This window comes from Homo sapiens, chromosome 6 (genome assembly GCF_000001405.40).
Source record: "Homo sapiens chromosome 6, GRCh38.p14 Primary Assembly".
Classification (NCBI taxonomy): domain Eukaryota; kingdom Metazoa; phylum Chordata; class Mammalia; order Primates; family Hominidae; genus Homo; species Homo sapiens.
Window position 1 is genome coordinate 69812533 of NC_000006.12, and position 16497 is coordinate 69829029.

At 35.3% G+C, this 16497-nt stretch overlaps 2 annotated features.

Moving 5' to 3' along the window:
* Positions 3474 to 3793: an enhancer, noted in NCBI's record as "active region_24728". NCBI's record gives its function as "activates an Ori minimal core promoter by ATAC-STARR-seq in GM12878 lymphoblastoid cells {active_cell/tissue: GM12878}" and the evidence as "EXISTENCE:reporter gene assay evidence [ECO:0000049][PMID:35858748]".
* Positions 3904 to 3973: an enhancer, noted in NCBI's record as "active region_24729". NCBI's record gives its function as "activates an Ori minimal core promoter by ATAC-STARR-seq in GM12878 lymphoblastoid cells {active_cell/tissue: GM12878}" and the evidence as "EXISTENCE:reporter gene assay evidence [ECO:0000049][PMID:35858748]".

Here is a 16497-nt window from a genome sequence, read left to right on the forward strand (position 1 = left end):
TCTCTTTAGTTTCTACAGGGTGAAACCGCCTTTGCAAAATTATAACTGAGGAAATTATGACAGTGACAGAAATCACACCTAACTGATTCCATCTGGCTCCTAATCTTTAAGCTGTCCTTCTTCATTCCTGAGGATAGGCCAAACTAATTTTGAGAAGGAATTCAGTTCATGGCTTGATTCTGAAACAAAATTGATAATAGACCTTTCCTGAAAAGACCCCTTCCTTGCCTGGGTACCAGTCTGCCTTTGCAGGACTAACAAATTAGCTACAAGATTAGAAATTACAGTTTAGGGGCATGCAGCCTCTGGCTCCAAGTTGCTGGGGATAACATCACTATTGCAAACCTAAGATCAGTGCTTGAGATATTTTGCAGAATCTGCACTGGATGGATCAGCAGACACCACCCAGACCAGTAATCTGGCTCAACCAGTTCTACCATCTCACCCAGATGAACAGAAAACAGCAAGAAAAAGTCAACTTCGACCCCCTATGGTTCCATCTCCAACCTGACCAATCAGCACTCCCCACTTCTCAAGCCCCTACCTGCCAAATTATCTTTAAAAACTCTGATCCTCAAATGCTCAAGGATATTTGATTTGAGTAATAATAAAACTCCAGTCTCCTGCACAGATGGCTCTGTGTGACTTAGTCGTTCTGCCTTGCAGTTCCCCTCTCTTCATAAATCGTCTCTGTCTAAGCAGTGGGCAAGGTGAATCCGTTGAGCAGTTACAAGGAAACCAAACATCTCAGAACTCTAATTCCCTTGGCTATAGTTTTAAGCTACTCTTGCCTTCTTGCTTATCAAGTTGCTCATTTACTTCTTAGGGCTAACCAGGTGTCTGGAAGTTCCCTTAAAGGAATTCAATATTTTTCTTTATTTCCATGTTTGGCAAGGGGAGCAGGCAGCAGCCCCCTAAGAAAGGTTCTTGCTTTGTCTCACTGAACACATGAATTTAAGTTTGATTATCAGATCATTTTTTTTTAACAACTTGAACTCCGAAGACATGAGGTAGTCAGAAAAAAAGGAGGAGTCAATCAGTCAGGATTCTGGCAAGAAACAGAGGGTAGTACATCTAAAAGTGTACTTTTAATCATCTAAAAGTGATTCAGAAGAAGAGTTCAATGATTGGACTATTTACAAAGATGTGAGCAGGAAAAAGGGAAGCTAACCCTAGAGTTGTCAAAACAGGAAATCATTACCACCACTGAAAGGTCACTCCCTGTCTCAGAAGGAGGTTACTGGAATCTGAAAAGACCTATACACTTAGGAAAGAGCTTTCTAGTAGCCATTGTCACCTACAGTCCCTCAAGAAGGGAGCCAGGGGATAAATACTCTGTTACTCTTTTTGAATGTACTTAACAGGAAAACAGAAGGCAAGGGAGCCTATTTATTGCAAACATAATGATCAGCCTCCTGGGGCACAGAGCAGAGTGGAGAAGGATGGAACGTGTATCTGGAGGAGCAAATGGAAGACACTCAGCAGAAGGGGAAAGACTTGTTTAAATAGAATAATACCAAGGAAAACAGGACTGCTGGTGAAGACAAAGAGGGCGTTTTTCACAGATACTTCATGTTCTAGCAATAGTGGAAAAACAATGCTATTTCAATTTTTGAGTAGTTAATGAGAAACTGATATTTCTAAATAAGAAAAGGCCGAATATCCTTGTTTTAATTAAAGTCTATTGTTCATTTTGTATTGTGCAAAATGAAGACAGCCAGTGATAGCTATAGTTCAAAAAAGATTCTAATTATTTGCAGAATAACTAAGTATATAATGTTTCAGCTTTATATTAAAATACAGCTTTCCTATTAAAAGGATGTTTCTAATTTTAAAAATATGAATAAATTGATGTTATAAAAAATACTGCTGGCTAGGTTTAGCCCTGAATAACAAGAAGGAACAATGTCAAAATTTGTATAGGCCTTTAGTATTTCCATTTAATTTTGAAATGAAGGTTTATTCATTTAAATTTTGGGTTGTTTTATTTTACTCTGTTATGTACTTAATCAAATATTGATAGACCAAATGACTTCAGTAATGTTGGCTCTGTATCTATTTCATTTTTTAGCATCACATATAGATAACCTTTTGCTGATACAGCTTAAGAATTGTACCAAATAAAAAGCCAATGCTATATCTACAAATGAGAACTTAGAAAAAAAAATCTAGCACCAATAAGATATCAAATTTTGACTTTTAAAATTACTTTTTCAATACATAAACATATGTCCACATGCATACTTTCTAGATGGATTGTCATTTCACAGAAGCCTTTTCTCATATTGAAATGGAATGCAGATTGGGTAGTTAAATTTGATAGTGAGAAATAAAAATAAAAAATTCTAAGCCCCCAACTGACTGAACGGACATCTCTCTTGGCCAAGGGGAATCGAGAGAAATCTTGGAAGCTGAATTTACAGTCATGACAGGATGGATGTTCAGACATGCCTCATTATAACCCCCTCCCTTGCTAACCACCATTAGGCTTTCTACTCTGAGGGCTAAACAGAAACTAGCCCTTTCAAAAGACTCCACACTGATAATGTTGATCACTAGCTTATCTTTCCTGGTACAGAACAAAGACAAGATGAAATCAATTGTTCTTTTACCCTTGCCTGAGATGTCTGCTTCCTCTATTCCCTTTTTCTTCACATGTTCACCTTATCTTATGTAAAATGTAGATTTATTAGGCACTAACTAAAAACCTTACAAGTATGTAATCATTAATTTCACTGCTACCTGCCCGCCCCTTTTCTTAAAGGAAAATATGTAAATACTAAACTTCCTGAGAACCTCTTTGGAAAACACAATCACAGAATGCATCTGTGACTTGCATTTTAACCAGGTGAACCCTCAGGCTGGCTCAATAAACATCAATGATCTGAGACTTATGCTTCAGTCACTCACTTTGATCTGTCAACGGAAAACTCTCAAGAAATTTCCTTTTTATATCTTTTAAGCAAACTCACACACACACACACACACACACACACACACACACACACACATACAGCTTTTTCTTTGCTAAGTCTGTATGTCAATTAACATCTGACCAGTACTAGAATAAGCTTAATTTTCAAGGGAAGATGGAGCTTCGTGAAAGATAGAGAGTTGTCCCATCATTTCTGATGATTACAACTCATCTTTCTTCAGGCCAGATTTTTTTTTTTTTCCTGATGTGCAAATACAAGTTTTCACAAGTTTCTTGAAAACCATTCAGTCTTTACCATTACCATGTACCCAAATCAATCATCTGTTTACTATTACCTAATTACCTTGTAACTTATACGTTTCTGGAGCTACCTGTAATCCAGTCTCATGGACTCACACTCAAAGAAACACCAGTTGGGCATAAAAATATAATTAGAAGCAAGGGAGATTTGATTCACGCCCATGAGAAATTACCAAAGGGTAATTAGAGTAATTATACTTCTTTTAAGTTCTCTTTAGACCTCACTCTCATATTCTCTCACATGTCTGCAGGGGCAGATTTACCATCATGTTAATGGAGCTTCAGCGCCAATGATCCACTTGCACAGGTGTTTTCCATGGTCCTGTGGAAAAAAAGGCCTAGCAATGTGTTCCCATGGACCTATGGTTTTTTTGTAAATTTTTGTAAGTAATGTATTTTTGCTTCAGTCTGTTGAGACCACTGTCTCTTTCCATTTTCACTTTCACATTTTGCCTCATATGAGTATCACTGGAGTGGCTGCAGGCATTCTGAGGCTCCAGCTCAGGTTAAGTAGGGTTAGGGATGCATTTAGTTTAGGTTGAGTGGGATGTATTTACATGGAGTTACTCTCATGTTTAGTTAAATTATTGCTAGGCATCCAGGTGTAGCAATGGCTTTCAGGAATATTCTTATTGCCCATGATTCCAATTTGATGTGCACTATGACACAAAGGCAAGACCAGAGGTCTATTTTTGAAAGTGTGGAGCCAAAATGAAGGCTATTTTCTAGATTTTGTGATGTCTGTGGTATTCGGCATCTGTTAAAATTTTCTAATCTGTTTTTCTCATTCTAAATTAAAGTTTACTTTTGAGTCTAACTTTGTATTCATAATTTTCCATTCTTTTTCTTGAGGAGGAGCCCCCACAAAGTTAAAAGCTTGTCTCCTGGATCCGCCTTGCAGATGAGAAAAAAATTCTCACTGCCCTCTCTCTGGTTCCTTCCCAGAAAACTTTCCTGACAGACAGACAGGCTGGCTTTTCACACTAAGCACCACTTCCTGCTTAACAGTGCCCCCATCACTGCTTCCGTCTTTCTGTTGCCTTTTCAAGTACACCTTTCTCACTCACGAATATCTTGCTAAGTATCTGGGTCTTCTTTTCCTAACTGCCTTCTTTTTGAGAAGTAGCTCTGTGTTTTGGAATTAAACATAAATAAAATCCTCCATCTCTTCCACAATTAGCCATTGTTTCTCTAACTTGAGCAATACATAAATTAGTCCTTTTTAAATGGGAAAACATTTTGGGGCAATCTAATGACAACTTATTTTCATGATGCTATTTAAATAAGTAAAAATGTAAAACAATGGATGAATGCCTTAATTTTATAGGCCTTATACAACTTTACAACAAATAAAAATTCAAGTGAAACTTAAAAAGAAGATAAAATCATGTTAATAACATTATTTTAATGTGATGCATAGTGGCATTTGGCTGAAAAAAAATCATTCAGTCCTGAGTTTAATAGTAGAAAGATGCAGACTCATGTCTGGTTTTATAATTAATCTCTTTTGACATTTTGATTTCAATAATGCAAATGTAGAAAATGTCTATTCCCATAAGTATATGGTACAAAATGGTATTAATAACTTCAAGTCTTTGTTTGCAAATTAAGTATAATCAGGCCTTATGCTTAACTAAATCTCTGCCAGTGAGCAATCCTGGAGTGCCAGTTTTATAGTGGAGTCATTTGATAATTGTATAAATGTTTGTTTTTACTTGGAGATAATATGAGTACTGGCACTATTGAAATATGTATTAAATGGGTATGTAATCTAATTATTGCTGGAACTGGAAATAGAACTATTTGTCATTGCATATTTTCTGCTAATGAAATATTAATTACAAAATGGGATGTACATGACAGTATTCTTAAAACCATTTGTTCACAATGTGAATACTGTATAACATTGGCTAACTAAAGAGATTCTTGTGAGGTTAGTAAGCCTGTATTATCATATGTCACAGGATCCATCAATTCTACCATGACATTTTTTTGTTCCAACCAAGGAACTACTTTCACACATTCAGTTTGTTACCTTACACTTACTCCATGCAAAAGAGACAGAAAATATAAACTGCAAGATAGTACTCAGTTATCAGGTACTTCAAATGAACCAGATGATTTAATATAGGCTCGTATTAATTTTGTAAAATTTTTGTGAAAATAAAAATGCAGAATAAAAAATTGACTTAGAGAATTCTCAACTATTGTTGTTTTGCTTTACTAAATAAGATAATTATAAAATGCTTCTTGAAATTTTAGCACTAAAATTATTACTATTGATTTAGTCTATTGTAATAGTTATGCTAAAATATTTTATAGGCTCCCAAAATAATTATTTACATATTTTTAATGTGTTATGTACATATAAAATCAGACTCTAGAAGAAAATACCTGAATAACCAAAAATTATAACACTAGGACTCACACAAAGCCACTCACATGAAACCACTCACCTGTGCTTCAGAAAGCTGAGGGTTTGTAATCTACAAGATAGAAGCCTAAAAGTGTCTGGGCATCACATTATAACTTATCTTGACAACCTCTGTACACATAGGTGTTATATTGCCAACAAAATTTTGTGATTGGTAGTTTGAATGTTGTTATAAGTCATTATAAATATTGACATTCATCTTTGTTTGGGCAGACATAGTTGCCAACTGCCTCTCATGTCCGCAGGCCCTTTGAACCCTGCTCATAACCCTTTGTTGCAGGGACTAGTGGAACACATTAGTGGCCATGTTATACCTGGTATGATTCTGGTTTCTTGGCCAGATGATAAAATTGGGGAAGAGGAGAACAGCCAGTCTGTAGACTGCAAAGTAGGAAACAAGGGGGTCAGGCCCAAGAGTTTTGCCCAAAATGACAATGAGTATAAACTGAATGCAAATTCATGAAGTTCTGAATTTTGAAAAAAGAGGGAGAGAAGTAGTTGGCCAGTTAGTAAACAGAGAAGGAGAAAGGTGTACAGAAAGAAGGTAATAGCAAATATCTGGCAATCGAACTAAGAAGGCAGAGGTTGTGAGTAATCAAAAATGAGAAAGGGAGAAATGCAAGCTCTGAATCCAAAAGAAGGAGGTAAGTGGATATTTAATCAAAGTAGCAAATAAGAGAAAGGATGAAAAAGTATATTTAGTGTAAGAATTGATAGAATTGATTGGCTCCTGAATGACTTTCTACATTCTGAAGTCCATGAAACCAGCCCTACAGAAGGAGATTCTTTTTTTTTTTTTTTTTTTTTTGCGGGGGGCCTGGTTTGGGGAAATTTCCTGACTCCCCAAGATGAATGAGCATGATTTCTGTTTTTCTGCTTTCCACATGGAGCCTTTTAATAAGCTCCACATGAGTTAAGATATTCTCAAGGAACTTCTGTCTTTGCAACAATAAAAGAGACCTAATTAATATAACCTTTTTAATAATTGCACAACACTGTACTCATTAGCTAGCATATGAATTTATGTGTTGTGTTAAAATGGTCCATTTAACTTATCGATTTCTACGACTTTAGCCTCTAGGCCTGGGGTTATGCATGTTATCCACATCTTCAGTGTAGAGACACAGGAAATTATCCGTAACTTTTCGTCAAATGAATGAATGAAACAGCCACTCTAAAAAACTACAAACACATGCACTAGTCTTTAATCATCCCTATTTACAGTGCTTCATTTGCATAAAATAGGGTGCTTAATATGGCAAATACATGACACACATACACACACACACACATATTTTAATAAGAGAAGTGACTGCTCCTTCTGCTAACTCAGAAATGCAAGACAGAAAGTTTCTCTCAAATAGCTATTTTTTCTATGAAGAATCATTCAGGGTCTCTCTCACTTACATAAAAGCAGGGAAAATAGACTCATTGGACCAATGCTATCCCCACTCTTCAGCCTCTTCTTTGCCCCTCAACTCCTCACCAAAGGTCTTGGTACACCAAAGGTGGTTACTGGGGAGGAGAATCCAAGGCCTTCTCCTAGAAAAAATGAATCAGTCCCTAAACCTTGTTCCCTGAGATACAAATTTGGGAAATTCAGCTATGTGGACCATCACAGTGATTTTAATTAGGCCTCATGGTTCAAGGAAAGCAAGAAACCTTTTAAATTAAGTCATTTGGGGAAAAGTACGTCCCTATACAAATAAATATGCCTAGGTTGGTCCTCAAGTTTTATGTGAGGATTTATTCTGACTTGATCTGGAAGGTGCCTCCTGACTCTGCCACAGTGGTTAGGCTTTAGATAATAAGAACTGAGCAAGGGAAAGTTAATTTAAAAGAAAGACCACCTTGCCTCCCAACATGGGGCACCATTATGATTTTGTGCATGGCCCTGAACCAGCAAGAGTTGCCCTGCAGCAATGGACAGGACTCTGAAGCTCCATCAAACCAGTCTCTCATGACAACACTTAGCAATAGCAGTAAGCAATGGAGTTGTGTACTGTACTCGCTCTCTAGCCCTGGCTCTCTGTGGCTAGAAGCATACTGATGCTTTCAGAATGAGTATGCCCTTGAGGTTATTGGATGGTTGGTGATACTAAAATTCTTGATAATAGACCACATTGGAGATTTCATAATTCATTTTAACATTAAAAGAGACACAACTACAGTGTACCCCAATGTTGTGGAGCAGTTCAGATATATTTCTTTGAACAATTTTTGTCTCTTTATATATATATTTTATTTTTTCTTTTCCCTACAATCTCTTCTGCTTTAGTCTTTTCAGTATGAACCTGTTTGTAACAGGGAATGTTATCTTTCTTGCTTTGGTGTGTTATCCAGCTTGTCACTCCCACATGTCCTGGGCCCAGGCCAGCCAGCAGCCTTGTTGCCCATTTCCCAGTGCTCCCTCCTCTACTGCCATATGCCCATCTGCTCTGTTTGCCTTTTCTGGGGGTGCCCCAGCTGACATTTTAAAAAATTCTCACAACCATATGCTTTCTCCCAGGCACACTTGCCTGACTTCCCTGCTTTGTCCAGTGGCCATAAAGGACAGACTGGAAGTCGCCAAATTCCAAATTCCAAGGCATTTTAGTCATTGCCTTTTGTTAGGAGCTATGTCCATCTATCCCATTATTAAACTTCAGAGCATGGCACAATGATATTTGTCTCTGTGATTATAATCCCCAAAGGTTAGTGCTCCACACCAAATATCTTGGTTTTCCTTAATAATACATGATAGATCCATGATATATTATTATTCTACATTTCAATCTTTTGGACAACCCAATTTTTTGCTAAAGTAAGAGCACTTACTACTTCTTAATAGCATAGTCTTTTACTATGGACTCCTAATTATTGATGTGGGTTTGAATTTGAATTTTAAGCAAATTTGCTTATGTGCTTGGGTCTATTTCTGTACTTACTTTTCTGTTGCATAGGTCTATCTATTCATATCAGCCAGTATCTCACTGGCTTTATGGGATATTGTATTGTTTGGAAATGCTAGTTCTCCCTTGTTATGGGTTGAATTATGTCTCCTCAAAATGTATAAGTTGAAGTCTTAATCCTCACTATCTCAGGAAAGTGACCTCATTTGGAGATACTCTCTTTACAGAGGAATCATGTAAAATGAAGTCAATAGCATGGACTCCAATCCAGTTTAACCAGTGTGCTTATAAAAACTGGAAATTGGAAACAGACCTGCATAGAGGGAGGATGATGTAAAGAAACATAGAGAGGGCCAGACGTAGTGGCTCACACCTGTAATCTTAGCACTTTGGGAGGCCGAGGTGGGTGGATCACCTGAAGTCAGGAGTTCAAGACCAGCCTGGCCAACATGGCAAAACCCCGTCTCTACTAAAAATGCAAAAATTAGCTAGGTGTGGTGGCAGGCGCCTGTAATCCCAGCTACTCGGGAGGCTGAGGCAGGAGGATCACTTGAACCTGAAGGGAGGAGGTTGCAGTGAGCTGAGAATGTACCACTATACTCTAGCCTGGGTGAACGAGTGAAACTCTGCTCAAAAAAAAAAAAAAAAAAAAAAAGAGAGAAAGAAACATAGGGAGAAACTGGCCATCTATGAGCCAAAGACAGAGGCCTGGAACATCCTTTCTTCACAGCCCTCAGAAAGAAACTAAACCTGCTGAGATCTTGATTTTGGATCTTTAGACAGTAGAACTGTGAGACAATGAATTTTCATTGTTTAAGTCACCCAATTTGTAGTATTTTGTTATGGAAATTCTAGCAAACTAATACATTCCTTATTTCTCTTCTTTTACAGGATTATTCTAAGTACTCTTACTTTTGCTTTCTGTGTAAATTTTAAAATTGACTTGACTTAAAATTAACTCCAGAAAATAAAACATTTTGATAATTACATAGACATAAGATGTTTCTATGTACTCAAGTTTCAAGTGTACTTTTACATAGTTTAGTAATATTTAAAGATTTACCCATATAGGGTACTATAGTCTTAGTGCATATGTCCCTTTCAAATGTATATGTTGAAATCCTAAACCCCAAGCTGATGGTATCAGGAGGTGGGACCTTTGGGGAGGTTGTTAGGCCATGAAGGCAGAGCCTTCCTACATAGGATTAGTGCCCTTATACAAGAGGCCCATAGAAGTTCATTAATCCTTCCACCATGAGAGGACACAGTAAGAAGTTGCCATCTATGAGGAATGGGCCTTCACCAGACAGCAAATCTGCTGGCCCCTTGATCTTATACTTCCCAGCCCCCAGAGCTGTGAGAAATAAATGTTTGTTGTTTATAAGCTACCCAGTCTATGGTACTAGTTATAACAGCCCAAACAAAGACATAGGGTTTAAGAATTTATTTTCAGTTTACTTCTAAGTATTTTTATCTTTTCTGTTTTAATTGTAAATAGGGTTTTTTCCTACTTTTTTTTCTAACTGATTATTTGTACATTTTGGCTGAGTGCAGTGGTTCATGCCTATAATATTATATATTATATTATATATTTTAAAATTTTAAAAATAGTATTTGTACATTTTAAGGCTGTTACTTTTAAACCTGCTTAATAAAATATAAGTTGTCTCTATTTTTTCTAAATTCTGAAACATCATTCAATTATTGATTTCAAAGATTTTATACAATTCCCTTATTAAAAGTACCTGTAAAATGTTTTGTGGGTAGCTAGTTATATATATATATATATATATATATATATATATATATATATATATATACACACACACATATGAACTTGGTCTTAAAGTATACATGTCTAATTTTAATAGAGACTGCTAAAAAAATTCTATATGCCATGGGAAATAGTGTGTTGAATTTTCTATATTGTGGTCGCTTCTGACAAATTGTGTGTTCCTAGCAAATTATCCATTTAATTCATGTTTTAAAAATTATTTGCAGAAGTTTGTGAAAGGTAGTCTCACTAATTTTTAAAAGTCCTTTATTCAATGGTTATTTTCTCCTAATCATTTTTATTTTGTGTTCTTGATATTTGCCTATTTTCTTGAGTTTTTAAAGACCCAATATTTTTACTTATTTATTATTTTTATTATTTTTTCATTTCATTCATTTTTGCTTTTATCTTCATTACTTATTTTTATTGACATAGTTTTAAGGTGATGATTTTTGCCTCAAATTTCTAATTCAATTGCATCTCCAATATTCCCTTATATGGCTTTTTTATTATTATTGTTTTAGAAATGCTGTGATGTTATTTACCTTTCCCTTTTCAGCTGAGAGCATTTTTTTATTGCTATATAACATCTACAGCACAGTACACAAATTTTAAGTTTATCTCTTGATAAATTTCTACTTATGCATGCACTTTGTAACGACACCCAGATGGAGCTATGGAACATATATGGCACCCCCAAAAAGTTTCCTTATGACCTCTACAAATTGGCAACTGCCCATCTCCTTATTACATGATAATTATTATTATAACTTCTATCACTATAGATTAATTTTGCCTATTTTTTTACCTTAATATTATATGGACCCACATAGGATATACGGCCAATGATATATAAAAGGATGTTCAAACACTTTAGTAATCAGGGAAATACAAATTAAACCAAAAAATGAAGAATTCTTCCCACCTACATGATGGAAAAACACTTCAAAGTTGACAAATACTTGAAGTGTTGGCAAGGGTGTAGAGTAATGAAAACTACTCTGGCAGCGTCTCGAAAATAACAGGGCATTATTATATTATAAAACTGAACATGGGCATACACCATACTACCTAGCATTTTAACTTCTAGAATTATACCTGAGGGAAATTTCTGCACATGTTCACAGGAAGGCATGTACATGAATGTTTTAGCAGCTTTTTAAAAATAGTAACAAAAATGATGGAAACAACCCAAATGCCCATCAAATACTTCTCCCTTTACAATAATACACGTAGTGATGAAAATGAACTACTGTACACATCACTATGAAAAGATTTCAGAAATTAATGTTGAGCAAAAAAGCAGGTTACCAAAGAATATATGTAGTATAGTTTTAGTAATATAATATTTTTAAATGGGCAAAATTATGCAATATGTTGTTTAGAGATACATATGTAGTAAAGCTACCAAAGCAAAGGCAAAATAAAGACAAAAATTGTGGTTTCCTCTGTTGTGGAAAAATGAAGCTAATATGGGGAGGTGGGAGTGGCTCACAAGAAGCTTTAACAGATTTTTAAAGCTTCATTTTCTAGGCCCAGTGTATTAGTCCATTCTCACACTGCTAATAAAGACATACCAAAGACTGGGTAATTTATAAAGAAAAGAGGTTTAATTGACTCACAGTTCAGTCTCCGGAAGGGGAAGCAAACACATTCTCCTTCACAAGGTGGCAGGAGAGAGAAGCGCTGAGGAAAGGGAGAAAAGCCCCTCATAAAACCATTAGATCTCGTGAGAACTCGCTCACTATCAGAAGAACAGCATGAATGTAACCACACCATGATTCAATTATCTCCCACCTGGCCCCTCCCATGGCACGTGGGTATTATGGGAACTACAATTCAAGATGAGATTTGGGTGGGGACACAGCCAAACCATATTATTCAGTGATGTTTAAGTGTTCATTTTAGTATTATTCTTCAAAATGTACTTATGCATTACATGCACTTATCTATGTTTTACATATTTCACAATTGTAAATTTTTTTAAAAAATACAATGTTGAAGCAATACAAGGACTAGATAAACTCACAAGTAACTTCATCAGTTATGCTGGAGAAGGTGAAATATCAGGTTAATGTTGTAAGGTCTTAGTATTATTTGTAAAGAATAAAAGCTTTTATTAATGTTAGACTTTGAGAAGTAATGCACATTATAATTTCTAGAATAACACAAAAGAAAAAATAGTATATAATTTTCAAACTAGTAGTGGAAAAAATGAAATGCTAAAAAATATTAATTCAAAGGAATAAAAGAAACGAAATATGAAACAGGGTACAAATAAAAAGCAGAAAATAAGGTGTAAGATTAAAGCCCAGTGATTCCAGAATTACATTCTACATACATGGGCCAAATACTTCTGCAAAGAAATGTTGTCAGACTAGATTTTAAAAATCCTAATCACAACAGATACATTAAAAAACTAAAGATAGAAATAGGATTAAAGTAAAAATGAAGAAAAAACTATAACAGGTAATTCTAAATGAAAGAATAAATTATCCAGGCCGCAACCCTTTCCTGGTAAAAAATAAAAATTAAAATATAAGAAAGAGAGTGAATTATATAATTAACATGCATAATATATAACATGTATATTTAATATGATTAATATATATTAATATAAAATATAGGCTTTGAGTCTAAAATTTTTACTAAGAATAAAGAGTGTAACTTCATAATGATAAATGTTGAATTTTTAAATAAGATATCAAATATCAAATTTGTATGTATTTAATAATAGTTCAAAATTTATAAATCTAAAACTGGCAGAGCCACAAAGGCATAAACAATATCTATAATTATAGAGTCTCTCTCAAATTGTTGTAATATGTGGGTAAAATAAAAATAAAAATAAGAATACGGAAGGTTTAAAGAATGCAGTTAATGCCTAAAGGACATATATGAAACACGACAGAATATGACAACCAATAAATGCAGAATATACCTTCTAACTTTTCATTCATCTCAAGAATGTTCAGCTTTACCTCAAGGAGGATGGTTAAAATTGTTAGTGTAAAGTTTTACCTGATAATTCTAACATCTGTATCATCTTGGAGTTTCCATTTGTTGGTTACTTTTTCTCTTGAAAATTCATTGTATTTTTTGTATGCTGAGTCATTTTGCATTGTATCCTGGATATTTTAGATGTTATGTTGTGAAACTCTGGATCCTGTTGAAATCCTCTGGAGAGTGTTTTTTTTCTTTGTGTGCACAGGCAAAGTTCTGGCTTATCTCTTGTATGCAATGTTGGGTTAGTAGCAAACTTTTGCTGTGCTCTTTGTGTCTGCCCCTTGGCTAAGCCACTCAGAAGTCAGTGTAGGTCTTGTACAGCGGGTTATCTCACAATTTTGTTCTCAAAGCCTTTGCTATGCTTTTTTGACTGTGATTCAGGGCATTCAGCTAGGGAGTGAGCAGATTCTACAGGTCAGAGTTAGTGCAACTGAAAAAGTGGCGGTTACCATATATTGGGTTCCAGAAATTATCCCTTTCTAACAATGCCATTTGCTCAAACAGGAGCTTCCACCATTACATGGTCATATAGATGTTTCCTGATTCTCCATCCTATACATCTGCAGAATGTTGAGGAGGAAAGTCTTATCTGGACTGTCAAACATAGCGTGTGCAAACTATCTTTGTCTGACCTTAGCAACGAGATTTGAGTTATTTGTATACCCTCTACTATTTCTTTTTATGTTTTCCCCTAGTAAGCCCTATTTTATATCTGTTCACATGACATAAGTGGTATGTGCTTTTGACCCATTTGCATAATGCAGACTGAAAAGATTTTTTTCTTCTATAGACTATATACTTATTCTAATATTATTTCTAATATTTTTATTCCTAATATTATTTTTATGACTTTATAGACTTCATAGTGATATCAAGTTCCTCCTGATATCTAATCATCATTCTTCTTGCTATAGTTTATTTGTCTAATTATTTCTTGAATACGCTAGTGGAAATTTGTTCTCATTATCAGAGAATATATCAGTATATATCCAGAAACAGTAAAATCCCTGGACAGCCTGCTAATATTGCAGGCTAAATTTCAGACACATTTCTCAAAGTACTTAAATATAAATAGTTATTTCTGCATTACAGAAATCAATGTAATTAACTTCTATGTGTTGACTTCTTTCAAATAGATCTTTTTCTTTGATAACACTGAATTACAGTTGACCTATTATTCATGTTAAGAAGTTACTAGTATCATAAATGCCCTGAACTATCAAAATGCTTCAGAAGAGAACTAAAAATGTTACTTCTTATAATGGAATTTTGATGTCCATGTCTCATGCTGCACATTCCTTTATGTTAATACCATAGTAAATGTCATTAACACTGTAGTATTTAATTATACTAAATATTTAATCTTTTAGAAGGACCATCAGATTCATTTTCAATATAAATCAAGCACATATGCCCAGATTATTATGGTCAAGGCAGGAAAATCCAGGATGCAAAAGCATAGCAAAAATTTCATATCTGTCTACCTCCTTTAAGCCACTTACATGACACACATGTTGCAAAGCACGGCAGAGTACAGATAGCAACAGACGTAGTTTGTATTCTTCAGGTCCTTATAGTATAAAGATCCAAAGACAAGCATACAAATACATAACATTAGACAGATTGTGCTAAGTACCAAAACAGATGTAAAAACAAGAATCACAATTTGTAAGAAGAACATTACTTTGGAGATCATTTAGTTTAAAACAGTGTTTTTGACTTTGAAGAAATTCTGACCTAGAGAAGTTGAGGAACTTGCCAAGAAAATAAGTCATTTGTTTAGTGGGAACACTTACAATGGGCCTGGCATGTGGTATGGGTAATTCATGAAGAATGCATAGGGTTTAACTAAGAAGAGATCAGAAGGAAAAGGGGATTCCAGAAAGAGGGAGGAGCATGAATAAAGAGAAGAGGCAAGAAGGCATAGGCCATATTTGACAATCAGCAAATTGACAACTTTGACTGAATTTTGGATAATGTTTCTACAACTTTAAAGTGTATAAGAAGGTTTTTGAAACTGTAAATTCTAAGCCTCCACACCTACAGATTTTGCTTCAGTAGGTAAAAAACGTACCTTAGAAATACACATCTTGACAGGCACCCAGGGATTTGGGCACAAGTGATGCAAAAACTGTCCTCATCTCTGGTATAAATGATGAAAAATAAAGTTAAAGAGTAGGATACAGCTGCTGTCAAGATGTGAGACAAGGTTTTTATTTTTAATTTGGTAAAGCATAGGAAGCCTTTCAGGATTATAAGCAGGAAGGTGACATAATTACTCCTACATTTTAAGAATAAATGTTGCAACAATAAATAACATGCTTTGGAGGTAGGGAATCCACTGGAAAACTATCATAATAGTAAAAAGCAAAATGGACCTGAACTAGGGAGTAGTTTTAAAATGAACAACAGGAGGCAGAGTAAAAAATATTACAAGTAAAATATATTACAGTAGGTGATATAGTCTATGACAATGGAATTTTTTTTTTTAAATCCTGAACTTTCATGTTTGATGAGTGGGAATATAGTGTTAGTGGTACTAGTTACAAAAGCCATTAATTAATTAATTAATTTATTTATTATTTTTGAGATAGGGTCTTACTCTGTCACCCGGGCTGGAGTGCAGTGGCACAATCATGGCTCACTGCAGCCTCAACCTCCTGGACTCAGGTAGTCCTCCTGCCTCAGCCTCCTAAGTAGCTGGGACGACAGGTGCATGTTACCACAACCCGCTAATTTTTTAAAAAAAAATTTGTAGAGACTGCATTTTGCCATGTTGCCCAGGCTGGACTTGAACTGGGCTCAAGTGATCTGCCCGCCTTGGCCTCCTAAAAAGTTGGGATTATAGGCACGAGCCATTTTGTCTGGCCTATTTTATTCTTTCAGGAGAAACAAGATTTCTTTCCTTTGTATTTTCTGAGAATTGAGAGTATGGGAATATAAAATACGTTTTGGAAGTGTTGAGTTGAGTGCTCTGTCAAGCTGCATAGGCAGTGCAAACTAAATTTGGAGATTAGGAAAGGGATCAGGACTAGAAATGGGAGGTGGGAGTCATTCTCACAGAGGAGATATGTTAGGAGGCATGAAATTAGTTAAGATCATCAAGGCAGAGGGTTGACCAGTAAGAAAAAAGAGGCTAAAAGATAATTTCTTGTGG